This window comes from Homo sapiens, chromosome 8, assembly GCF_000001405.40.
Source record: "Homo sapiens chromosome 8, GRCh38.p14 Primary Assembly".
Lineage (NCBI taxonomy): Eukaryota > Metazoa > Chordata > Mammalia > Primates > Hominidae > Homo > Homo sapiens.
In genome coordinates this window covers 135,598,692-135,626,203 of record NC_000008.11, presented here as the reverse complement: position 1 = coordinate 135,626,203, position 27,512 = coordinate 135,598,692, and the positions used below count along the sequence as shown (strand labels likewise).

General features: G+C 37.7%; 1 protein-coding gene and 1 pseudogene across 14 annotated transcripts in view; one reads left to right on the top strand and one right to left on the bottom strand.

The window, feature by feature from the left end:
• The window catches only part of KHDRBS3 (KH RNA binding domain containing, signal transduction associated 3), a 199,061-nt gene that overhangs the window by 30,313 nt on the left and 141,236 nt on the right, over positions 1-27,512 (bottom strand). For 12 of the 14 annotated variants that reach the window (XR_242372.3, XR_001745458.2, XR_001745455.2 and 9 more), the window contains one exon: positions 19,167-19,249. The exons of the other annotated variants lie outside the window; for them this stretch is intronic. Coding sequence is in view for 7 of the 12 variants with exons in the window: in XM_047421269.1 (XP_047277225.1) it covers positions 19,167-19,249 (83 nt within the window). In the remaining 5 variants the exon portion in view is untranslated. The remainder of the gene's footprint in view (positions 1-19,166; positions 19,250-27,512) is intronic. 14 annotated transcript variants of the gene reach the window in all.
• Positions 172-2,620, top strand: MAPRE1P1 (MAPRE1 pseudogene 1; annotated as a pseudogene).

The window sequence follows — 27,512 nt, the reverse complement described above, 5'->3', positions numbered from 1 at the left end:
AATCTTTCATAGGACTGTTGTAAAGTTTAAATGAAATAATGTGTTATATACATATATGAAGGACAGCTGTTAATGATATTAAAGCAGAAGTCCTTTTTAAATGAGTCCTTATTTTTGTTGTCATACAATCTATTCAGCAAACATTCATTCTTGCCTAAAAAGTAAGGAACTGGAACCGGAGCTGGGTGCGGGCAGTGGACACGGTTCCGCCAAGAGCCGAAGATGGCAGTGAACGTATACTCAACGTCAGTGACCAGTGATAATCTAAGTCGACATGACATGCTGGCCTGGATCAATTAGTCTCTGCAGTTGAACGTGACAAAGATCGAACAGCTGTGCTCAGGGGCTGCCTAGTGTCAGTTTATGGACATGCTGTTCCCTGGCTCCACCGCCTTGAAGAAAGTGAAATTCTAAGCTAAGCTAGAACACGGGTGCATCCAGAACTTCAAAATACTACCAGTAGGTTTTAAGAGGATGGGTGTTGACAAAATAATTCCTGTGGACAAATTAGTAAAAGGAAAGTTTCAGGAAAATTTTGAATTCGTTCAGTGTTTCAAGAAGTTTTTTGATGCAAATTATGATGGAAAAGACTGACCCTGTGGCTGCCAGACAAGGTCAAGAAACTGCAGTGGCTCCCTCTCTCGTTGCTCCAGCTCTGAATACACCCAAGAAACCTCTCAGTTCTAGCAGTGCAGCTCCCCTGAGGCCCATCTCAACACAGAGAACTGCTGTGGCTCCTAAGGCTGCCCTGGTGTGGTGTGAAAGACCCTGGTGTGCGCAATGGGCACGATGAGGCAGCTGAGTTGATGCAGCACTCAATGTATTGAAACTTACCGTTGAAGACTTGGAGAAAGAGAGGGATTTCTACTTCGGAAAGCTATAGAACATTGAATTGCCAGGAGAACAAGGGGGAAAATGACCCTGTATTGCAGAGGATTGTAGACATTCTGTATGCCACAGATGAAGGCTTTGTGACATCTGATGAAGGAGGCCCACAGGAGGAGCAAGAAGAGTATTAACAGCCTGGACCAGCAGAGCAACATCTGAATTCTTCACTCCAAATCATGTGCTTAACTGTAAAATACTCCCTTTTATTATCCTTAGAGGACTCACTGGTTTCTTTTCATAAGCAAAAAGTGCCTCTTGTTAAAGTGCATTTTGCAGACGTTTCACTCCTTTTCCAATAAGTTTGAGTCAGGAGCTTTTACCTTGTAGCAGAGCAGTATTAACATCTAGTTGGTTCACCTGGGAAACAAAGAGGCTGACCGTGGGGCTCACCATGCAGATGCGGGTCACACTGAGTGCTGGAGAAGGTGTTATATAATATGCTGACGTGGCGACCTCAGTGGAGAAATGTAAAGACTGAATTGAATTTTAAGCTAATGTGAAATCAGAGAATGTTGTGAAAAATAAATGCCTTAAGAGTATTTAAAATATGCTTCCATATTTCAAAATATAAAATGTAACATGACAGGAGATACTGTGTTTGACATTGTGTTGGGGAAGGAAGGGCCAGACCTTGAAACCTTTGGAAACTTCTGTCTTACAGGGCTGCTTGAAGCCTCACAGGCCTAGACTTTGGTCTAAAAAGTTGCCCTATGAAGCCATTTGGTGTCATTGGCCAACTGCATCCGTGCTAAAAAGCAAGCGGCATCATTGCCTGGATATAACAGAGGATGTGTTTTAGTCTTGAGATGTTTGAGTTGAAGAGCTCGGTTTTCATTAAGCATTTCTATTTTTCCAGTTATCCCCAAAATTTCTATGTATTATGTTTTTGGGGAAGTGAGGTGTGCCCAGATTTTTAATCTAACAACTACTTTTGGGGACTTGCCCACATCTCTGGGATTTGAATGGGGATTTTATCCCATTTTACTGTCTTTTAGGTTTACATTTACCATGTTTCTCTTCTCTGCTCCCTTTGCCCACTGGGGACTCCTCTTTGGCTCCTTGAAGTTTGCTGCTTAGAGCTGGAAGTAAAGCAGGCAGGTGACCATGCTGCAATTCTTTCTGGACCTCTGGCAAAGGGAGTGGTCAGTGAAAGCCATTGTTACCTTGGGATCTGCAAGGCTGGGGTATTTTCGGTATCTGCTGTCCACTGTAATCTGAATACTTTGCCAGTACACTAGTTTCTTTGGAGATAAAATGCATTAGTGTGTGGCTAAATGTTAATTTTCTTTTGCAGAAAATATAGCACCGTGTCTAAAAATTAATATTTAAAATATTTCATTCCTTAACTCTCCCTCATTTGCAGGACTCTGCAAAATGTGTCTCACTCACTACTGAGTTTGTTCAGCCCCTGATGTATTTGCATTGATTTGTTTCTGGTGGTAGCTTGTCCTAAAATGTGTGTAGAAAGCAAGTATTTTATGATAAAATTGTTGTGTAGTGCATGCTGTGTGGTATTCAGAGGAAAACCCAGATTCAGTGATTAACAATGCCAAAAACTGTGAGTAACTAGCCATTGTTCAAATGACAGTGGTGCTATTTCTCTTTTGCGGCCTTTTAGACTTTTGTTGCCCTAAAATTCCATTTTATTGGGAACCCATTTTCCACCTGGTCTTTCTTGACAGGGTTTTTTCTACTTTAAACAGTTTCTCAATAAAATTCTGTATTTCAAGAGAGAAAAAAAAAAAAAGTAAGGAACTTAGCTTTGGTGACACAACCCTAAAAAAATAAATACCAACAACAGTTTCCCTTTGTTTGCTTAGTACTCTGCAACTTCATAATTTTATTTAACTTTCAGGAAGGTGAACATTAATTTGCCTACTCACTTTATTAGTTAAGCGTAAGGTTTCATAAGGTTTACTGTGCGGCTCGCTCAAGGTCACACATTACATGACAGTCAGGATTCAAATTCAGACATGTCTTTTGACTCAAGCTTCAGTATTTTTACTGTAGCTTGTTAATTTCAAACATCAATTAATTTCTCAGAAACGCTAACAAGAAAACTAAGATTTCTTATGAAGACACACAAGAGAACAGATCCTTATCGCTTATTTTTTTCTGGCAAAGGATGACTTACAAAATACTATCAATTACAGATACTGTCACTAGACATCACGAGTAATTTTAATGACAATTCTTTGCATGAAGTATTGAAACTACATATTAGAATTTCATGGAACCTAACATTGAAAAACCAGGTTGAAATACTGGGGACATGTAATAAGGAGAACTGTTAGCACAGACTGAGGTTCCGGGGAAGGTCTGGAGAGTAGAAAAGGGGTCACAGATTGGTTACCAAGTGGCAGGAAGGCCGGGAAGGCTGCCGCAAATGAAATATGTGCTTAGAAGTTCAAAAAATATACAACTTTGAGGAAAGACCAAGATCAAGGTTGGGTTCCTTAAGCCTATTTTTTTGTATTTCTGTTTTTGATTCCCCAAGTCCAACTACACTGGGTGTCAAGGCATGGAATCTTTTGGTATTGGATTACTTGGCTCTTCCGATACCATTAGAAATGGTCCATCAACATATTATGAGCCAGGTTACAGTATTTCTCTGGATCATTTGTGAATCTTGCATTTGTTTTTACAGCCAATCCTTCCATCTGGTATACTAACATATCTTTTTGAGGAGATTTCTGATAAACACATTTGATATTTAGATTTCAAAGCCATATCTATTACTCTTTAGGAAAACACTGATTGTGATCTGCAATATTTACACATGTGAAATAATTATACCTTTTGATTTTTTATGGGATTGTCAGCATCTTCCTTTGACACAATGTTAGGGCAGCAAATGGTTTTTAGTGTTTCTGGGGAATCTGGTGGCACACTAACTTACATCAATCTGCATATCAAATTATACAGGCTCACTCTTCAAATATGCAGCATTAAAAGAATTTAAACTACGACACTTATAGTATTGTATTTTAATCAGATAAGAAATTGTGATAAGAATACCTACTTTGTTTTAACATTACTGATGTAAAGTAAAATTCTACCTCTCTATATTTATTCAATAAATATTTATTGAGCACTACGTATGTTCTAGCACTGTGGTAGGCACTGGGGGAGGGGACAGTGAATAGATTGAAAAAAGAAGACAGACATTGATCAAATAATCACTTCAATATAAAATTGCAGTTATGATGGAAAACTGCTGGGTATTATGAGAGCATGTAATTATACGGAAAATATCACGTGGGCTGCAGTAGGGAGACATGATAGCTCAGGAGTGGAGTGGAGGTGGGGCAAGCAACAGCCAGGCTCCGGGTGCTCCACAAGCAAGGTGACATTCACTTGGACCAGTGTGGGGGTTACGGGCATGGGGAGCACCTTCATTGATAAAAACCAAAACAAAAAAAAAATCTGTGGAACTCCTGAGCCTGGTATGAAGGTCCATCACAAAATGTTCTCTATGGATCTTTCTATAGACACTTAGTGCACCTTCCTTCCTAGGCACCGTAGGCTGCAGCTTCACTGAAAAACTGGTCACTACCAATGCACACCAAGTCAATCTCTTCATAGGACCACTGCACGTTTTTTTTTTTTTTGTGCTCTTCTGCACAAAAACTTCCTTCTGGTTTGCCTGGTAGAATGGTCATCTATTACTGACAACAGTTTAGAATCTACCCACTAAACAATAACTCACTATCTCAGGTGCTTAAGAAGTGTTGATGAACAAAACAGGATGAAGATTCCTGCCCCTGCAGAGCTTACATTCGAATAGTGACAGTTTTAAGTATGTTAGGCACTTATATTCTAATAGAAAACATCAAATTTCCCTTTGGAATAAGGTATTTTTGAACAATTTGGCTCACTGAAGGTTTCAATAGTTGTTTGCAGAATGAATGTATGGAAGACATTACAGAAAGGCCAACAATTTATTTTTGGGGGAAACAAGTATTTCCTTGGCAACTAACTGGTAGGCACTGTGCAAAGTGCTTTACACATATTATCTAATTTATATAGTACTTATTACTCAAGAAGAGCAGTTCTCAACCTTTGGCTGCTTATCAGAATTATCTGTAGAGTTTAAAGAATTTATAGTAGCTGCTCTACACCAAGACTCAGATTAAAAAATAACAGGTGATTTTCTTGGCACCCTCCCATCCTCCCCCCCTTTTTTTTAAGGCTGCATAGGTGATTCTTCCACGTAGCCAGAGTTGAAGACTACATCAATTTTCACATTAGACTTACAATGGTACAAGATTTCTTACTGGGTTTCTAATAAAGAAATGTTTAAAACAGATGCAAACTTACACGTTATCAATTCAACTGAAGAACACACATAGATCACCTTTCTGATCAGCACTGCATTAGGTGTTGGTGATATAAACATGAGTACAAAAGGGTCCCTGCTGCTGCAGGACTCTATAAAAAGGAGATGGATTCTCAAGTCCAGCAGGTTCCGCTGGAGGACAGAGCAAGCACAGAGCATTGCGGAAACACAGAAGCCTTAGTACTTATAGGACATGGAAGAATGGGATGTGAGGTGAGGAGAATCACCGAGGGTTGTTGGATGGTGTAACTACTCATCCAAGAAACTGGTAGCTCTGTTGCAAGCAATCTGGCAAAGACTAAAATACAAAGAAAGGCAAATTGTCCTGTTTGCACCATTTTAGAAAATTCTAAAAACCACAATATCTTCAAAAGGTATATTTGAGATTAACTAAGGAGCCATGAAGATTTTGATGACAATGTACTTTCACAAGTTAGCCTTTACATTTTAATAGGTTATTGAGTCAAGTATAAATGAGCCATAACTGTGAAACTCAGTATCAGGTTACATTACATGAGTGAGTGACCTGAGATGAGGCAGAGAAGGAATTGGGGCCAGGTCAGGAAGGGCCTTGCTACCGGGTGTGGTAGCTCACACCTGTAATCCCAGCACTTTGGGAGGCTGAGGCGGACAGATCGCTTTGAACTCAAAAGTTCAAGACCAGCTTGGGCAACATGGCAAAACTCCGTCTCTAAAAAAAATACGAAAATTAGCTGAGTATGAACATTAAAGAGTAAAGTGACAGTGGCACCGTCTCGTGCCTGTGGTCCCAGCTACTCAGGAGGCTGAGGATGGAGAATCGCTTCAGCCAAGGAGGCGGAGGTTGCAGTGAGCAGAGATCACGCCACTATATACCAGCCTGGGCGACAGATTGATACCCTGTCTCAATTAAAAAAAAAAAAAAAAGGCCTTGCTAAAGTGATGACTTCTAATAGAAGAAACAGTCTTGTATCAATTATTTAATCCACTCTGTTTAAAAATAACTTGCTAGCACTAGCAATATTGCTATATTTGGTGGGATTAGAAACTGCCAAGGCTGAATGCCACACTGCTCCCTTAAGAAATCCCCTTCGTTTTCAAATTGCCACATATGCTTTACACCCCTTTGTAACCAGTTTCCCTGACCATAAACTTCAAAGAATCCAAGGGGCAATCATTATCCTGGAGAAGCACATGCAGGGCTCCACTGGAGCTGTACTAACATATGGTATGTGTATGTATCCTGTATTGTTTTTCCAAAATTCCAAAAATTGGAATGTAAGACATATTTAGCTTCGACAGTTTTAGATAAAGAATTGTAGGACTTTAATGATAGCTATTGATAGCATTTACGATGTGTGATATGCTTTCCATATATGACATGCTTTCCATTTCGCTTAACTTTACAACAACCCCATGAGGTCAGTACTATTATTGTCATCCCCATTTTACTCTAGAGCACAGGTTAAATAACTTGCCCATGGTCACACTTTAATTTACTACATCTTTATGCAGCCTTAATTGAGACACTGTTTTAATTATATTACTTTGGCTAAGACAATATGGATAGTTTTTTTTTTTCCTCTATGTAAGATGTCTTATTGGGCTATATACCTACATGTATTTTTTATTTCCAATGTCTCTAAAATTTAGCAATGTTTAAGACTATATCCAATACTTTTGATAAACTATTTCAAAAAGGTTGCAATTGGATGAAATACTTCTATTTTATAAACTTACAAACAACATAAATTCATTTTCATGTGGTACAGCAATCCTTATAAATGATAGATAAAGGAAATACATGCAAGTTTTAATGATTATTTTCCTACTTTCTAATGTATATGCCTACTTTTTGGTCCTTTACAGAACACTGAACAAAAAAGCATCAGAGTAAGAAACAACGAACAAAAAAGCAAAGCATTTATGCCTTTACACTTGCAGTGTGCTCCAAGTTAGGTTTGTGATACTCTGCACAGAAAATGAGCAGATATGAGGTGAGCTGGAAGCAATCTATCACCTGGTGATAACGAAGGTGCCAATGATCATCCCTCCACAGTCAGTACTACTTACAGAGCACCAGCAAAATGCCCAGCAGTGACAGACACATAAAACACAATCACAAATTCCAAGTGCCACGTGCCAGGCTCCACACTAAACTGTTCAAGTATATTCTCTCACTACGTTTTTGTAGGTGGGAAAATTGAGGGTTAGTGAAAGATCACATACACAGCGAAGTGGAAAGGTCAGGTCGGCCTGACTCCTAATCATATAATATTTTCACTCTATCTTGTTTAATATACTTTGGAATTGACTATCTTACTCTAATTTCTGGGAGATTAACCATGTCAAAACACTGGGTACACATACTTTAAGACATCAATGAAAGAGAATACAAAAAATAAAACTACAACTCAGTTACTTACTAAAATTGGGGTAAAAATCTAACCATAATACATTTTGTAACTACTAAGAAAAACTAGGAGAGAAATATAGTTACCATTGATATAATGACTTATTAGTATGTAAACCATTTTTATATCAATTATTAATGTAATTGTTACAATTCTGTGGACAACCTAAATTCAACACATCCCAAATGAACCTATTAACTTCTTCCTAAATCTCACTGCCACTTAAATTAATTATATTACTATCTATCCAACAGGTTGAGAAACTGAATTTATCACCTAACCTCCTCCTTCCCAGAACTCCTCCAGAAATTGCTTACTCTTTTCAATTAAAGGGCTCTTAAATATATTCGCACTGTCAGACACTCACTGTTATATTGTAAGTTCAGGCACTTATTGCAAAAATATTGGCTCCTAAGTCACAAATATTTTTAAGGCTCTCAATGCACACTCATAAATTACCTTCCAAAAGGAACATATCCCTTCATGATGACAAATACAAGGGAAAAATATGATCCACAACATGTCTGAATATTATTTCAGTTTCTAAAGCTGTGAGTCTAACAATGAGGTATGAATCGATTCTGGGGAATTCAGGCACCGACATTCTCCATTACAAGTCAACCTGCAACAAGTAACTTAGAGCTCTGTCCTCAAGTCTGTGCTTCTGACACATTTTAGGACTCTAAACAATCTAAATTAAATGAGCCTTTAACAACTTTTTATTGCACAAATAAGGTATCAAAATGGCATGCATAATTTTATTCAGATTATTTGTTGGGATTTTATTGACTGGAGACGTTCTCAGAAAAGACTATAATAGTTTCTGGATATAATACTTAAACTCATAATAACAACAGTTACATAGAGAGGTAGTATAGCAGAGTGCTTAGACTGCCTGGGTTCACATGCCAGCTCTAGCACTCACTCTCCATGAGTTCAGGGAAGTTCCACGGTCTCTGTGCCACAATTTCCTCATCCATAAAATGGTATAATAATAGTAGCTACTGGCTGGGTGTGGTGGCTCACGCCTATAATCCCAGAACTTTGGGAGGCTGAGGCAGGCAGATCACCTGAGGTCAGGAGTTTGAGACCAGCCTGGCCAACATGACAAAACCCTGTCTCTACTATAAACACAAAAATTAGCTGGGTGTGGTGGAGCACTCCTGTAGTCCCAGCTACCTGGGAGGCTGAGGCAGGAGAATCGCTTGAACCTAGGAGACGGAGGTTGCAGTAAGCAAAGATGGTGCCACTGTATGCCAGCGTGAGACAGAGTAAGACTCTGTCTCTGAAAAATAAAATAAAATAAAATAAAATAAAATAAAATAAAATAAAATAAAATAAAATAAAATAAAAGTAGCTAAAAAGGCCATAAAATGCTTACAATGGTAAACACCTACTACAGGCTACTACAGCAAATTTATTGAACTATTATGTATATTACATCTGCTATCTCACTTAATTACAATGTTGTAAGTCAAACAGTCATCATTTTACAGAAGAGAAAAGACTCAAAGAAGCAACCTAGTCAACGTCGTAGAGCTAAGAAAGTAGTAGAGCTGACATTCAAGTCCAAGCTTTTGTGGATTTATAGTCACTGTCTTTTTTTACTAACAATAATGCTACCTCATTTTAAAAGTCAGAAATTATACAAAAGTTATTATTCTCTTCCATCAAAAAGAGACTATATATGCAAGATTTGTAGAAAAAATTATTTAAAAAATAAATAAATACATTTTAAGAATGTATGAAACACGAGGAATGAAACATAGAAAGACTTTAGAGTAGGTCTTTATCTTACAGACTTAAAATTCTATAGTGAAGATTTAAAACTGGAGGTTTGGTCATCAACACAAGCGCTTTTTAGAAACCCTGTCACATAATCTACATTTTAGTAATGAACCTGCTTCCCTGGTATGTTCACTCTCTGCAGCATCTGTCATTGCTATGAATGGTTGATCGTAAGTACTGTTGCAGTCTTCTCAATGCTATTAAGCAGATGGCAGCGCTAAATCCAAATGATGTAGTACATCTCCCTGGTGGACTTTGTTTTCATTTACTACCATTATTCTACAATTCCTTAGTGATAAATCTCATGTAGTCTCAAGAACATTAAAGAGTAAAGTGACAGTGGCAATTGATTTATTGCCACTAGCTTGCCTTTGCCCCACTACCGTGTTGTCATACACTTGTGGAGATCATGCATGAAGATCCCATGTGGTGGTCTTCTCTACATTTATAGGAACCTAATTTTTTTCCCCCTTACTAGTTGCTTTTGAGTTAGGCAAAAGAATGTAAGCTTGATCTCAAAGAGAACAGTATGAGGACTAACTGATATGAATTAGCTATGTGACTTTGGTCAAGCTCAAATTCTGTGAATGTCAACTCCTTTTGTAAAATTAAGGAATGACAATCCTACAGAAGTTCTTAGGAATTAAATGACAGAATATGTATGAGAGCACCTAGATACATAGTAACTCACACTTGGTAAGTACGCAATAGATATTTCATTCCTTCAAACTTTGTTAAGTAAATGAATCTTGAAAAACATTTTCCTTTTTTATTAGTTTAATTCTAAAGAAATTCCTGGTGAAGATACAAAACTTCTTATTTTCAATAAAATCAAGGCATCAAATTTGGTAGGACACTGTAACTTAGTGAGAAGCTCAGTCTTGCTTCTCAGACTCATCTAATCAAACTTTCAGTATGAGCAGTGTTTCAGGTTGTCCACTGACTGGTGACACAAATGCTCAGTGCAGCATTCACCAAACCCCAGCCATTCAGGGACAACTCTCAGGATATGCAGTATACTTGCCATCTATCCTGTTCGTGACTTCATACTAACTCTCCATGTTAATTTTCTTTTACTTTAAATAAACTTGACATCACTGAATTATAGCAATAATCATAAAATCATGTGTTTGATATGCTAACCATACTCTTCCAATAACTTTATAATCTAATCATTACAATTTTTTAAGAAGTCTGCCCATGTAGCATCTGAAATCACATTGTGAGACGTCAATGATATGGGTACTACTCTTTGAAAAACACTAGTATAATGGAATGAAAATGGACCTTGAAATCAATAATGTCATTAAGAGTGTCACTCAGGCTACTTAAACTCTGAGTCTCAGTTTTCTCAATAATAAATTGAGGATAATATCCACCTTTTAAGGTTAAAATTAAGATCAGAGGGTGGTTGTGTGTGTGTGTGTGTGTCTGATACACTACAGCAGATGGTCAATATATAATAACTATAATAAACAGCAATACTTACACATGCTAACATTCAGTCTTGGGCTGTTCCTTCCCTTTTCCCTGTCAGAGCTGACAAAGATTCTCTGCTTGGCTAAACTTTAGTCAGCCTCCTGATCCTTCTCCTAGGCCCATCTGTGGAGCTCCTTGTAAAATCCAGTTTTAAAAAAGAACCTTGCTGAGCCAGTTTAGCAAGAACACGCCACCCATGATATCTGATCACCCTCAGTATCTGATCAGGTTCCTTATCCTCCATCATTCCCCAGGGGAGGGGATGTCTGACCATTCTGGCCTGCCTCTGGCAAGAATCCTGTTAGGTCAGTTCAGCCAAAATCCCCCCTACCACTGATGTTTCCTCTCAGTAATTTTCTATCTCCTGACCCTAGCCCGACTTCTTGGCTACGAATTCCCACTTGCCAATGCTAGATGCAGAGTGGAGCCCGGTCTCTCTTCCCCACTGCAAAGTCCCAGTGCAGTGGTCCACGTATCTACTGCAGTGGTCCTGAATAAAGTCCGCCTTACTGTGCTTTAACAAGCGTCACCAAATAATTTTTCTTTTCTTTACAGGGTTGTAGCTTCACTTTTTCACCCCTGTCTCTACTCTTTTTTTTGTTTTTTTTTCCCTTACCATGGGGTCTTGGGAATTAAGTATTTACGGGTCTATGGGGGTAATTTGGGTTGATATCCCTTGTTTTTTGTTGATGTCTACATAGTACTGTGTTAGAAGTATTTTTGTTGACAGTTTATAATGCTCAATTTCTATTAGCACTTTTTGAGACCCTTTATGTTCTATTTAGTTTATGATCACTCTAGGAGCCAAACAGTTCTTTGGAGAATTTATACTTTTTCAGAAACATAGACTAAAAATATTATGATAGTTATTAGGATTGTAAATAAGACATCAAATATAAACTAATTCCACTTAGCTTAGAATAAAATAAAGATATTTACAAGGGGTTTCCAGGAGGCAGAAATGGTCTGTGAAGATTCAAGCCATGTCGGGGCAGAGGAAGGGCTCTGAGGGCTGAGGTCATTATCACCCATTCGTTTTGATTCACTATACTAGCTATTCCGAAGCTGTGTATCCACAGGAAGTAATCAACATCTATTTTTGAGCCAATGTGTATTAGAATAATTCCAATATTGTAAAGAATAGTTTATATTTCTCTTCATAGTAACTGTGTCAAAATCTTGTTACTCATTAAATGTGTGAAGTTAGATAAACGATACTTTTGTTTTATACTGTAATGTTAGCATTATCAAGGTCATTACAAAAATCAATGGGGAAATGTACCTGAACTATACTGAATTTTTTTATGGGAATTCTCATTTGTACTCTGATTTGAATGCAAGGTATTTGAAAATTGGAAGAAAAAAATTCCTAATCTGTAAAACCTCCAAAGATAAACTTGTTTCTGTAACACAAGAGTGTCATAATAATGAGGACCTCAGGAGTTTAAAAGTCATTATGGAAAGAAGCCCTTCCACACAACAGATCATACCCAACGGTAGCCAGGCCGCCTTGCTGTCTTACTCAAGTTTGTTTTCAGGTAGGATATGGCTGTTGACCTTACCGACTCTCAGTGCACAGGAAATACTGACACTGACCATCCACAGGAAAGAAGCCCTTTGCAAGGTTTCCTCTCTCACTATAAAACATTTGCTCGCACAGTCCTTGCAGGTTTCCCAGAACCTGCTCTTCGTAGCCACTCTTGTGTGAAACAACAAGCAGAAGGAATTTAGAGCTGCAGAAGGATGGCAGGAACTCGGGCTCACACTGTGCTACCTCCCTATGCAAACCATCTCATTCAGTCCTCAAGCAGAGACAACGGAGTGGACAACAGACTTCCCTCTACACAGTTTACAAAGACTACGTGCTTTCCTGTCTCTTTCAGCCTTCAGGCCGGCCCTCTAAACGAGAATCTTTTTACACTGTTCTCACAAGTAGAAACAGTTACACATTTTATAAAAGGAGGCTTAGAGAGGTTAAATAACTCACCTCAAATTACAGAGCCAGTAAATGTTAAAGTTGGCGTCTGACCATAGGTCCGTCAGACTTAACCACTGTGGCACCGGTCTCTGTTTCTGATAATACATCGGCACAAATAAAAATGTTTTTGAACTTGTAACTGTAATGTGCTTATGCATACTATAATATTACTAAGCTATATTTTAAATAACATACAAACATTAAAATAGGAATTTAAAAAGTAGGAATATGAGGGGCCGCTTTCCAGTTCTCTCTCTGCGGCTTGTGGACTGTCTTGCTGTCTTGCTTACCCATAAGTGAGTATGTGCCAGAGACAGACACAGCCAGAATCATTTAACTCAGTGCTGTCTATGAGAAGACACTGTAATAGAGAGCTTTCCAGTAGCCACATGTAAAAAAAGTAAAAAGAAATAGGTGAAATTAATTTTAATAATTTTTTTAACATTCTTTTTTTCATACAAAGTCTCTGGAATGTGGTGTGAGTTTTACACTTCCAGCACATCTCAATCTGGACTGGCCACGGGTCAAGGGTCCACAGCTCCATGTCTAGTGGCTGCCATGGGGGACTGAGCAGCTTTTACCTCTGCTCTGTGCTCCCTCCTACTGCATAAAACGTCAAAGAACATCTGCAGAACAGCTTTGTACTCTAAAAGGAGGCCAAGTGAAGAATTCTTCACTAATACTGAACTATAACTGTAGCATTGCACGTACTTTCAAATTCTGAATTGAGAGAACTATTTACGTATGAAATCTTATGGAACCTGAATTGTCAAAATCAAGACATGTTAGATAAGACATCAAGTGCTACATGGCACTGCCCACCAGTGCATCTGAAAACTGGGTGCTCCTTGACAGCAGTGGCAGTAAATGCTATTCACTGAAGGGATCTCATGTAAAAGTGGAAAAACAAATTTCTTAATTTCACTAGTCTAAGCCTACGACTGTAATATGTATATTTAATATAAATTAAATTCCCTATTTGCTTAAGGTAGTCTAAATTTGATAAGGCAAAACTTCTAGTGCATATTGAAGCAGAATTCCTAAGAGATTTTAAAGCATCACAAAGTATTACATTTTTGAATACTGTATATGGGAAATATAAACAGGAATGAGTCCCAGCAACTGTAATCAAAACCATGACAAAAGGAGAGCTGAAAGGCAATGGAGACAGTATAAAAGAGAATGTTTTGGCACCGAGGTGATTTCTTTGGGCTTTACTTCTCTGAATTTGGAAATGAGGAACTTCACTTCTCTGAATTTGGGAATAACATTTTTAAACTTGAATTTAGCAATATCGAAGGGGATGCAGAGAGGGGAGATAATTTATGTAAAGTAGATGAAATAATGCCAAGCACAAAGGAAACCTAAGATGATGGCCGTGATGATTTCCTTGTTAATGTCTACTATTCGATACTGGGGATGATCTGAAAATCTGCTATCCTAACTAGTTCATATCAGGTTCCTAATTCTGAAACATGCAGTGTTGTGCTTAAACCGGTGTTAGAGTATGTGCATTTTGTGTGCTGAATTGTGTACCTTGCCTTCTGAAACTCATATATTGAAACCCTAATCCAGTACCTCAGACTGTGACCATATTTGGAGACAATGCCTTTAAAGAGCTGATTTAAATTGAAATGAGGCCTTTAGAGTGGGTTCTAATCCAATCTGACTGGTGTCCTTCAAAGAAAAGAAAATTTGGATACAAAAAGAGACACCAGAAATGTTAGTGCACAGATAAAAGAGCATGGGAGGACATGGAGAGAAGGCAGCCATCTGCAAGCCCGGGAGAGAGGACTTAAGAAGACTGGAGCGTTTTATTATGGCAGCCCCATATAGTAAACTAATATGGTGCATAGAACCATTTCTTCACCCCACACTATATATAGCTGCTTCCTTTCAATTTATAGCAGAGCAGTTATTCAGTGTAAGCTAAGAGTGCTGTAGTGGAAAAGATACTAATATATAGTTACAGTCAGACCTCAGTTCAAAGTTTGTCTCCTTTGTGTAAACTGTACGATCTGAAGCAAGTTATCTAATTGTGTGAGCCACTGTTTTCTTCTTTAAAAGGGACAGATGTTTATTTGACATGTTATGAGGATTAAATGAACACTCAAGAGTATCTAGCAGTGGCTTCTGTACTTGTCCATGTGAGCACTTCTCATACAGTTCTCTGTACTCCTTCAGGTAAGACAAGTTGTAGCACAGAAAAGATCACTTCAAAGAAGGTAGACTGGCTGTCACAAAAGATGCTTCTTTTAGTGAATCTTTCCTGATATTTAAAGGGCTTATAATTTATAACATAACAGTATCTTAATTAGTCTCTGCCTCTGGGCTCACCATCTGCCAATCCAGCCTTCACAACTGTCATCTAATTAATTTCTCTAAATTCAAGTATAAACACATCATACCTTTACATGTAACTCTTCAATGGCACTGTCTCAGCTCCCTGTGGAGGAAACATGCTGTCACTCCTCCTGGCCCCTCTCTCCCCACAGCTCCTGTGTGCCACATATTTCAGCCCTACACAATTATGTGTAGTTGCCACACAAAACTCCCTGTTTCATGCCTCTGTGACTTGCTGGCCTTACTCTGTGAACTGCTCTTCCCTGTTTGTCACCTGGTGACTACTACTTATCCTTCACTTTCTCAGGTAAATGTCCACAGTATTCCCAACCAGAATTTAGCATAGTCTTCTTATGAAAACAATGAATTTCTCCTCAGACCGCTCACGATAATTAGAATATTACATTGTTTTAAAATATTTACATTTGTTTTTTTCTAGCCAGTAAGCTTTTCAAGGATAGAGTCTCCGTCTTAATAATCTTTGTATTCCAAGCATCAAGCATAATGCCTAGCACAAAATGGACATTCAATAAACACTGATTGAATAAATAACCAAAGAATAAATGCTTATCATCTGTCATATAAATATATAATCAGAGCTTCAAGTAGAAAGACCATGAGCTTTAAAAGCCTGGGTTCACATTTGGGATTAGTCACCTACTTCTCTGAGCCTCAGTTTCATCATGTATATTAACTCTTGCTGTTGTCATTTGTATTAAAACAAGACACATAAGTAACAGATTAAATTCCATGCCTGATTTAGAGCAGGCTCTAAGTAAATGCTAGCTCCCCTTAGTGATCTATCAGTTTACCTGCAGTCACATTTTGACATCACTCTCCTTGACAGATCACAGCATTTAATAGGGCAAATGCTTTAAGTTTGGTTCTTTATATCAAATATCAAAAACCAGAAGATCACATGGACTATAATCTTGTATTGTAAATATACTTCATAAAAAAAGTTACATCTTGGTTTCTACATCTATTAACTGGAGGAAACTCTATTTATTGTATAGGACGGGGTTGATGCCTGTGAAGATCTACTGAAATCAAATACAAAAAGCATTTAGCATAGTATCTGAAACACATTAAAAACTCAATAAATATTAAGTCGCTTCTCTTTTCTCCACAGAATGAATCGAACCATAAACATCACTATATTGTGATACTGTTCAAGCCAAAAAACATGCTTGCATTTGAAAGTCCAACACACGGAATAGAGTCACGTGCTGCATAACGACGTCTCAGTCAACAACAGACTGCAGGTACAGCGGTGGCGCTAAGATATCATAATGGTGCTGAGAAATTCCTGTCACCTATGACATCTCAAAGATCCTGAGCCTGTGTAGGTCTATGCAAATGTGTGTATTTATGTCTTTGTTTTTAATTTTCAAAAAGGTAGGCCCGGTGTGGTGGCTCACACCTGTAATCCCAGCTCTTTTGGAGGCCAAGGTGGGCACACTGCTTGAGCCCAGGGGTTCAAGACCAGCCTGAGCAACATGGCGAAACCCCATCTCTACTATAAATACAAAAATCAGCCAAGCATGGTGGCACATGCCTGTAATCTCAGCTACTCCGGAGGTTGAGGCACAAGAATTCCTTAAACCTGGAAGGAGGAGGTTGCAGTGAGCTGAGATCACGCCACTGCATTCCAGCCTGGGTGACAGAGGGGAAAAAAAAATTTACAAAGTAAAAAAAAAAAAAATTAAAATAGATAAAAGTATATAGAATAAGGATATGAAGAAATGTATTTGTACAGCTGTACAATGTATTTGTGTTTTAAGCTAAGTATTATTACAAGAGTCAAAAATTAATAAAAACTACAAGTTTATAACGTAAAGAAGTTACAGAGGGCTAAGGTTAATTTACTATTGAAGAAAGAAGAAGGCTTTTTAATAAATTGAGTGTAGCCTAAGCGTTTAGTGTTTATAAAGCCTGCAGTGGTGCGCGGTAATGTCCTAGGCCTTCACATTCACTCACCACTCACTCACTGACTCACCCAAGAGCAACTTCCAGTCCTTCGAGCTGCATTCATGGTAAGTGACCTGTATGGGTATACCACTTTTTATCTTTTATACCACATTTTTACTGAAGTTTTTCTGTTTATACATGTTTAGATACAGAAATACCATTGTGTGTCCACTGCCTGCAGTATTCAGTATAGTAACATGCTGTTCAGGTAGACCATACAGCCCAGATGTGTAGCAGGCTGTATCATGTAGGTGTGTAAGTACACTCTATGATGTTCACACAATGACAAAATTGCCTAAGGACACATTTCTCAGATCATATCCCAGTCGTTAAATGACACATAACTGTATATACATCCCATAACAGATACGGGAACAGAACTAACAGAAATGTGCAGTGAGCCTCTCACACAAATGTACCAGGATTAAGAATATGCACTTGACAGTCACACACCTGTTACCATTTTATCAGCTGTTCGGTCACAAGCAAGTGCCAGAATCTCTTGGTTATGTGATCTCCTCATCTACAGCAATACCATCAGCTTTATAGTACTGTTGTCAGGATTGATGTGTTCAGACAACCTACACTGTAAGGCCTTACAGAACTTATGGAAACAGTGCCAGGAATATAGTATGCACTCAGCAAATGCTGTGGGGATGGGAGACTTGCTTTGCTAGGATATTTAGACTACATACTGAAATATTTGTGGATATTTATGTTTTTAAACAAAATCTGAGAAGGACTTATTTATAAAGGGTACATATCTTTGAGTTAGAATATCTGACTTAGAATTTCATCTTTTCACTTTCTGTGCAATTTCTGGCAAATTACTTAATTTTGTGCTCCTTTTCTTCATGTATACAATGAAAACAATGGCATATACTTCATAAAGTTGCTGGGATACCTAAATGAGACGGTGTATACAAAGTCTTATCAAGCATTCACCACATGCCAGTCACTGGGCTCCGTAAGTGTTAGGTCTACCCTCAACACACCAAAGGGCACAAACACGATATACAGGCTTCCACCAACAAAGACCAGTTGAGAGTCAAAGTTTGAAGGCTACTCAAAACTTACAAGTTATAGAAGAATAAAATTTGGTATGAGCAAAAACAAAGAGTTTTTTTTATATCCCTATCTACCTCAGTACCAGAGTTAACAAATAAAGAGAACCTATGTGTGCAAAGCTTGACTGGCACTGGACGAGTTCAAAAGTGAATTTGTGTTTCATCAAAATCACCTCATAGTCCATATTTTCTTATGCTTCAGAATCACTACAAAGCCAATATTTTGTTTTATGTGTATATCTACCTTTGTCTTCCACTTAGAATTTTAAACATAAAACAAAAGGTTTCCACATATTTAGGAAAACATTCTCAACATAAGAAACACTAAGTTCATGTATCAATGAACATCAAGGTAATATTATCAGAAGAGGTAAGTATGAAGCTCTGTTTTGCCTCTGGTAACATTTAATTATTTGTGGGTAAATATTTCTTTGGAAAATAAATCACAACTAAGTCATTATTCACAGGTAGGAGTTTGAAGTTGATAGAAAACAGGAGAGGCTGCTACTTAGAAATTGAAATGTTCTATGAATAGGAAACAAAACTTTTGACACTTTCTTCTCCAGGCACTGACAATGTAGGATACTTACACATTTCCAATGTAATTTTGGGCCTTAAGACTAAATAGTCACAGACTTTGAGGCCATTGTTCCTTCTCAAAATATACTGAACATTTAAGTTGAATTTTTAGACTAAAATTTCAGTTTTTATTTCCCTGATTTCTTTAACATTATAGTAAACTTGGGTAGGGTAATACATGCTGGTTGCTAGAACAGACAGGGCTTCTCCATTTAAACAAATACAAAAACAGGGCAAGCCAATTACCCTCTCTAGCTGACTGCCATACTTTTCCCAGAATATATGAATGTGGAAGGGGATGGTTTCTGTTGTGGGGTCTGGTAATAAAGACTGACTCTTACCTTTGGGCTGGGGTGCTATAGCTGTTATCATAGGAATCATAACTCTGTTCATCATAAGCAGTGCCATATCCATCATCATAGTCCTAAAACATAACAGGAGAAGTACAAAAACATTCAGAGAAGTTTCTAAAAAGAAAGAAGCATTCTGCTTTTAGTGAATTTCCATTAATTCAGCTAGCATTTAATTATATGTCTACTTATAGTGTAAAGAAAAATATAGGAGTGAAAATGGTGAAGAACTTCCACACATTCTCTCTACAAAAGCAAAGAGCAATTGGTAAAAATGGTCAGAATCACCATTTTCAGAACCCTGGAAATTAACCAAAAGATTGCAGAGCTCTAGAAAACATTGTCTTTTTTCTTTTTTTTAAATGGCTGAATCCTGGTAAGAACAGTGAGCTTTGCGCTATTCTAACTTGTCTTATTCCCATGCCCCACTCCCCAGCTCTGAAGGAACCTTGAAAACCAACAGCCACAATCACCAGGAGTCTGGATGCTGCTGGAGGGGGCAGAATAAGGCTGGAGTTCTGACAAAACGCCATTCCTAGAGAACTGTCTTCATTTGACCTGACTCAGACTTCACCCCTTGCAAAATGCCTTTTTCCTCAGGGTATCTGAAGAAAATACTTAAAGGCAATTGTTTGACATTTCTGCTGCCTGAGGTAGTGAAGAAAAACTGAACAAACAATGGGCTAATCAAAAATCTTCAAAAGAAAAGTGGGGAATGAGGTGTCCAAAACAGGTCTTGTAAAGCTCTGAATTATTCCTGGCAATCTAGAAGGCCGGGACCATGCACAGTGCCATATCCATGCCCAGAAAAGACCTGAGAGGGCTCTGAGCTCTCTCTTCTGGTTGACCTTGAGGTTAAGCATGAGTCCCAATAGGCACCCAGAGGCCCTTGGCAAAGATTAGAAAGTTTCTAGGCATTTACTAAAATCTCTGCCCAATCATTAGCTGACTAGTAAACTAACACAGAGGAGACTTCAATAGCAATGCACAAGAAATAGAGACTTTATAAGATTAGTTTAGAAAAGTCACTAAACAACAAAAACAAGAAACCATGGAAAAAATTGATTTCCAGAGTTTACACATTAAATGTTCAGTTTTAAACAACAACAACAAAAAACTGAGACACGCAAAAAAACTCACAAAAGTATGTCCCTACACAAGAAAAAAAGCAGTCAATAGAAACAGTCCTTGAGGAAGCTGAGACATTGGACTTACTAGACAAAGACTTTAATTTGGTTATTTTCAATACAGTTGACACTTGAACAACACATATTTGAATTGTGTGGGTTCACTTACTGCAGATTTTTTTCAACTAAAAAAATACAGTATTCATAGAATGTGAAACTCATATATATGGAGAACCAACTTTTCAAATATGTATGTTCTGCAGGGCTGATTATGAAACTTGATTATGTGTGGATTTTGGTATACACAGGGGATAGTTGTGTAGTCAAGGAATCAAACAATACCCTTTCTAACCAACTAAAGTATAAGAACAGTGTCTCATCAAACAAAGAATATTAATATAGATATAGAAAACATAAAAAAGAACCAAAATAAATTCTTAAGTTGCGAAGTATAATAACTAAAGTAAAATATTCATTTGAGAAGCTCATCAGCAGATAGAACTAGGATGAAGAAAAAACTCAGTCAACTTGAAGATGGATGAGTGGAGAAAATCCAGTCTGAGGAAGAGAAAAAAAGATGAATGAACAGAGTATCAGAGACCTATGGGACAGCATCAAATGTATGAAAATACATGAGCATATAAATACTGACAGACCCAAAGGAAAAAATAGAAAGGAATAGAGATTATTTTGAGAAACGATGGCTGAAAACTTCCAAAATTTAATGAAAAACTGTAATCTACACATCCAAGAAGCTCAATAATCTCCAAAAAGGATAAACTCAGAGACTCAAATGTAGACATGGTTATTGTCAAACTGCTGAAAGACAAAGACAGAATCTTGAAAGTAGAATGAGAGAAGCAACTTATCACATGCAAGAGATTTTTATAATATTAGCAGCTGATTTCTAACAAAAACTATAAAGGCCAGAAGACAATAGGAAGCCATATTAACAAGTTCTTAAGAAAAAAAAAAAGACTGTCAACTAAAATTTCTCCATCCAGCAAAACTATCCTTCAAAAATGAAGGAGAAGTTAAGACAAAGGTCATTTGAATCCACATTAAAAAAAACAAAGAACACTGGTAAATCCTTAGGTAAATATAAAAGATAGTATAAGCTTTTTTTTTATTTGTAACTCTTTTCCTTCTATCTGATTTAAAGGACAAATACACAAAGAAATAATTATAAATCTATGTTGATGGGTATGCAATGTACAAAGATGTAATTTGTATGACAGTAATAAGACAAAAATGAGTGGAGAGAATGGAGCTATTAAAAAGCATTTTTGTGTTGGTTTAATTCTGAGAAAGCAATATAAGTAATTTAAAAATAAAAATGTAGAAAAAGAAACAACAAATAAAGCAGTGCAGTGAAAAAAAAAACATTTAACACAAAAGAAGGAAGTAAGGTACAAAAAAGACCTAAAATATGTAGAAAACAAATGGCAAGATGGCAGGCATAAATCCTACATTATCAGTAATTACATTAAGTGTAAATGGATTAAACACACCTATTAAAAGGAAGAAATTAGCATTATGGGAAAAATGATCCAACCACATGCTGTCTACAAGAGACACACTTTAGTTCAAACATAAAAACAGGTTGAAAGGAAAAGTATGGAAGAAGATATTCCATGAAAATAGTAACTAAAAGAGTACTAGAGTAGCTATAATACTAACATTAGGCAAAAGAGACTTTAAGACAAAAATTATTAGAGAAAAATGACATTTTAAAAAATGATAAAAAGATCAATCCATCAAGAAGGTAAAATAATTATGAACATGTATGCATATATAAAAAATATATGTAACAATAGAGCTTCAAAATACATGAAGCAAAACTACCAGAATTAAAGGGAGAAATAGACAATTCAACAATAATAGTTGGGTACTTCATCAACACACTTTCAGTAATAAGTAGAATACCTAGAAAGAAGGTCAAAAAAGAAAAAAAAAACATTTGAACAACAATACAAATCAATTACACCTAATCGACATCTATAGAGCACACTACTCAAAAAGAACCGAATACACATTCTTCTCCACTGCGCATGAAACATTCTTCAGGATAGACCGTAAGTCTTCCCAAGTCAGAATTTACTATAAAGCTACAGTAATCAAAATAGTGTGCTACTATAAAGCTTTCAACTTTGTAAAATAAATATTAATATGAAGGGATGGTGCTGTCTTTGTAGGAGTAAGACATAATTTATATATGATCACTAATATTTAAAAAAATTTTTTTAGAAAAGAGCAACTGAATATTTGTCAAAGAGCTATATGTTTTGTACTTTGATGAGAATGTATAATATAAAATGATAGTCATTAAATGGGGGCAGAGGAATAACAGAAGTCATGAATATGACTATAACACAATTTGCAAGCCACAGTGTTCTTCATAGTAGCTGAAGGCAGATTACTAATTTGAGTATGATCTTCCAATAGTCAATCAAGGGAGAGAAAGCTATCAGACAACAAACAAATACTTTGAGATGATTTTGGTTATCAGGTAAGTAGCAAAATGCAGACATTACAAATAATTCTTATGAATTAAAAGAAGCTGGAGGCTCCTAATGGAAGGAAAATTCCTATTAAATTAAATCTTCATCACTTAGCACCTATGCCATTTCTGGCACTCTGCTAGACACCATGGTTGGAAAGGAGTCTAGTAAGTAGGATGACATGAGGTGTAGTGGGAGACAGCTGACAGACAACTAAAGAGACAACTATAATTCTACAAGTCAATTGCCATGTCAAGGGTAAGCACTGAGGTGGGATGGACCAGCCCAGTTAGGAAAGAGAAAAGTGGAAGAAAATTTCCCAGGTGTATCAATGCTAGAAATTAGCTTCAAAGCACAGAAAGTAGAAGTTTCCATTAAAATAGTCATTAAAAATTAAAATTAGGCAGAATGAACAGCAGGTGAAAAACAATGGAGGTACAGGAAGACAAGAACTAAGCTCATTCAAGGAATCAAATAGCTTGTTATGGTTCCTCTGTATGGTGCAAATGGAAGAGGAGACCCAGAAAATTATACACTAGCTCATGAAGGACCAAGTTAAGGAATAAGGATTTAAATTTGGATGACATCATTCATGTTGTGTTTATGAAATATCTCTTGGTGTGAGGGCACGAAACAGAAAGGGTGAAGATGAAGTTGAGACTTGCAACCAGGTCACTGTATCGTGCACACAGTTGGGCAAAATGCAAAGATCATGGTTACTTTAGTAATGTTAGCTTGAAAAGAATATGCTTCTTCAAAGAATTCTATTTCTGTGCTTATTTGAAGAATCAAGATTGTAAATGACTAGAATTATAAAAAAAAAACTAAAATATTAAGCAGTATACTGTTTTAACCCTACAGTTATGACACTCATTCCTTACTCAATTATTCTGTCAGATATTACAATACTAGCAATTTATCTGAATTTTCAAATTGTTTAGGTCTTTGAGTTATTGACTTCGATATTTTTATACTGAAGATTTTAAGAGATTAAATTTGCAATTTTCACAAGATTTCATTCAGGAGGATTTCAATTTCACAGTTCGATTTGGCCATGGTGGTGAATATTTTGTACTTCCATTATGACGAGTATTATTTGTTCAGTGGACAACGCTTGAAACATATAGGGAAGCATGAAGCAGGGTGCAATAGGAGAAAAGGAGGAAAAGCTGAGTGTGACTGCAAATCAGTGTCTAAGGTTCCAGGTAGGGAGCACAGGGAATTCTTGTTGAACATCTACTATTTTTATCACAAGGTAGGGGATGAGGTCACTGGCTGAGAACAACAGTGAAGGGGGATTAACCAATAAACAAATGACTCAGCAAATGATTAAAACGAGGAAAAGGAGAGAGTAGTGGAGCTGAGTAAGAGCCTCCAAACCTTAAGATTTTTTTATCTGAGGACTGGGTGATCTGAGCGTTTAGCAGGCCTCCCTTTTTTCCCTCATGCTCTTATCTTCTAGTGTTCTGAATCACTGGTTGCTCGTTTTTTCTCATTTACATAGTTTTATATTATAAAATTCTTCAGTAGATGTTTCTGAGGCTAAGATAGAAATTTAAAAAATAGTGAATGTATTATTTGCTATAACGCAACAGATAATTGAGTGGAATCAAAGTATAGAAGGGGATGTCAAAGATTTAGATCAAGCAAACATCTAAGCTTAGAATCTACTCTTAAAAAGCTTGCCAAGACCTGGGATGAGGAACTCACTACACTTCAGTGCTGGCACTGCTCAGATATGCTGAAAGGTTTACTTTATATTTGAAATTTTTGGGTAATTTTTCACATTTCCATATTTGCTCCTAGAGGACCCCATTGTGACAAGCCCCAGTCTACATGTCAGACTCATTTTTCTGCAATGTGTCCTGTGCCTCCCATGCAATGACTATTTCTAGTTCATGTGCTGTTTCCTGCAAGTCTCTGGCCTGCTCTGTCTAGTGAATTTTTCAAGGTGAAGCTCAAATGAGAGCTTCCAATTCTGTTATAACTTCTGAGTCCCATGAAAACCGTCCATGACACCTTTGTTATGCCAACAATGGACCTAATATATGTACTTCCATTACTGGGCTGCATACAATATGCCTTGCTTTTTGCTTCACCTACCTTTCTGAATATGGATTGTGTCTTATTCATTCTTTCACACTATCACACCAGGCACAGAGTAGCAACAGTGCCTGGAACATAATGAGGACTTAAAAGATGTTCATTACATTGCTGGACTGAATGCCTCTAGAGGCAAAGCAGGCCAAATCCTTCTCTGTTTAGTCCTCTCACCTCTTTCCTGAATTTTCCTCAGCTGGTTCATGTATCTCCAGAGCCTCTAGCCATTCATCAGATGATCAAAAGTGAGGAAACCTGGCAGTATAAAGTCACAAGCAACCTAAGGAATTTCCTTTGGAAGAAGCTAAATAAAGCTCCTTTACTAATCCTAGCACTTTGGAAGGCTGAGGTGGGCAGACTGTTTTGAGCCCAGGAGTTTGAGACCCAGCCTAGGCAACACGGAGAAATCTGGTCTCTACTAAAAAAATACAAAACTTAGCCAGGCATGGTGGTGGGCACCTGTATTCCCAGCTACTCGAGAGGCTGTGTTGGAAGGACTGCTTGAACCCGGGAGGCGGAGGCTGCAGACCAAGGCTGTGCAGGGCCAAGACCAGGCCACTGCATTCCAGTCTGGATGACAGAGGAGGACCTTATCTCAAATACATATATAACGCATCCCTATGTTGTCAAAATGTACTGCAAAGATGTTTTATCCCTTTTCTTGCACTTTAAAAATCAGACCGTGCACTTGTGAGCAAGGCAGTGCAGGAGATACAAGAGGTCTCTAATACTGTGGTGAGAATCCATCAGTCCACACACACCTAGGAAGGCATTAACATCTGGAGAAAAATCAGTGCTTTCTGCTTTACCATCCCATTGTCATCTAACTAGCCAATGAGGCTATTTTTAATCTCCCTAAATCTATCTCACACCCATCCCCGCTTCCTCTACATTCCTAATGTGAATCATTTCATTCAGAATTATTAGATTCATCAGAATCATTCAGAATTCTTCAACTGGACTAGTCAGAGACCGTAACTGATCCTGGATTTCTAATGCTTCCTTATCTAAACATTCCTCCAAAAATTATACACCTAGAATGCAAATCCTCACTTGTACCCCTTCCCTCCCTGCTTAAAATCTCCACTCTGCACTCCTCTGTCCTGAGAACAATAGGGGAAGATTAACCAATAAATAAAGATACAAGATAAAGAACAAATTCCTAAGCCTCTCACAGTTCTGCCCTCAGCAACTCACCCAGGGAGGTGCCTGCCACTGCTGCCTGGTGCTGTGAGAGAGGTGCCTGCCACTGCTGCCTGGTGCTGTGAGGGAGGTGCCTGCCACTGCTGCCTGGTGCTGTGAGGGAGGTGCCTGCCACTGCTGCCTGGTGCTGTGAGGGAGGTGCCTGCCACTGCTGCCTGGTGCTGTGAGGGAGGTGCCTGCCACTGCTGCTTGGTGCTGTGTGCTTCAGCACCTGCGTGACGGCCCTGCAGCAGCTGTGTCATTTCACCCGCAATTCCTCCGCACAGGCTGTTTCCTCTGACATCACCTTTTTGGTGAGCCAACAAGAAGACTCCAGGCTGAATTATCCCTCTCTCCTTCCTGCGTCCATGATAACCAATAACTTGTATATTCATAGCTTCTGTAATTATTTCTTTGCCTCCTCTCCTCTCACTAGTCTGTAAGGTCCTTAAGGGTAAAAAGCAGGCCCTTTCTCTTGTATTCCCAGTGTCTAGCACATAGGAGGCATGTGGTCATGTTTGTTGAATAAATGATGAAAAGAACTAATTAATGACAAGTGGCAGGAAATGTAGTTAAGTGCTTCTTTGAGAAGAATGCAACTTGAGGAAATACTGTATAATAAAATGCAGTCTGTATTACAATACTGTAAAATTTGATGACAAGAACTCACCTATATCATTTTCTGTCAAACATTAAGTATCAGTCTTAGATTCCCTGCCCTCAGCAGAAAACTGCCTGTGGAACTCTGTATTCTACTTTTGATATCAGAACATTATTAAAAACTGAACAAACATGGATGAGAAATTAGTTATTATAAACATAAATAATGTTTGCCTCATTAAAAAGACTTGCTTATTCATCAAGTCTGACTTTTTAGCTTCGAAACAGCACCGAGCTGGCAGGGGTGAGCTGTCTGCTTGGCGGATGCCAGGCTACAGGAAGGGAAGATGTGTTCTTACACAGGTGGAGATTCTTCATTTGTCATTCCCGACCTATAAAACTCAAACCGACACGTGGCCAAACAACAGAGAAATCTTGCTTTAAAAAGAAGAGATTTTCCAGGATAAAGGAAACAGTATGACCTATTTAATTCTATTTCTGTTACAAGTAAACTCACATTTAAACTCAGGAAAAATCATTTTAAGTGAACAGATGAATTTACAAAAGAGTGATTTTTAAAATACTGTTTCAGTTTTGAGTCATTTTAAAAGACTGTAATTATGCTATCTGACATCTAACTTTAATTGCGATAATAACTGGTCACTTCAACACGTAAAAAGTTTTCATATAAAACGCAACGTTAAAAGCTTAGTCTTATAATTTGAGTTTAAAAAACAAATATTAACTGAAAACAGTCTTTTCAGAAATTCAGTTTTCACTGGGGTTCTAGGTAATAGTATCCGGGTCGATGCAGTGTCACCTCTGAG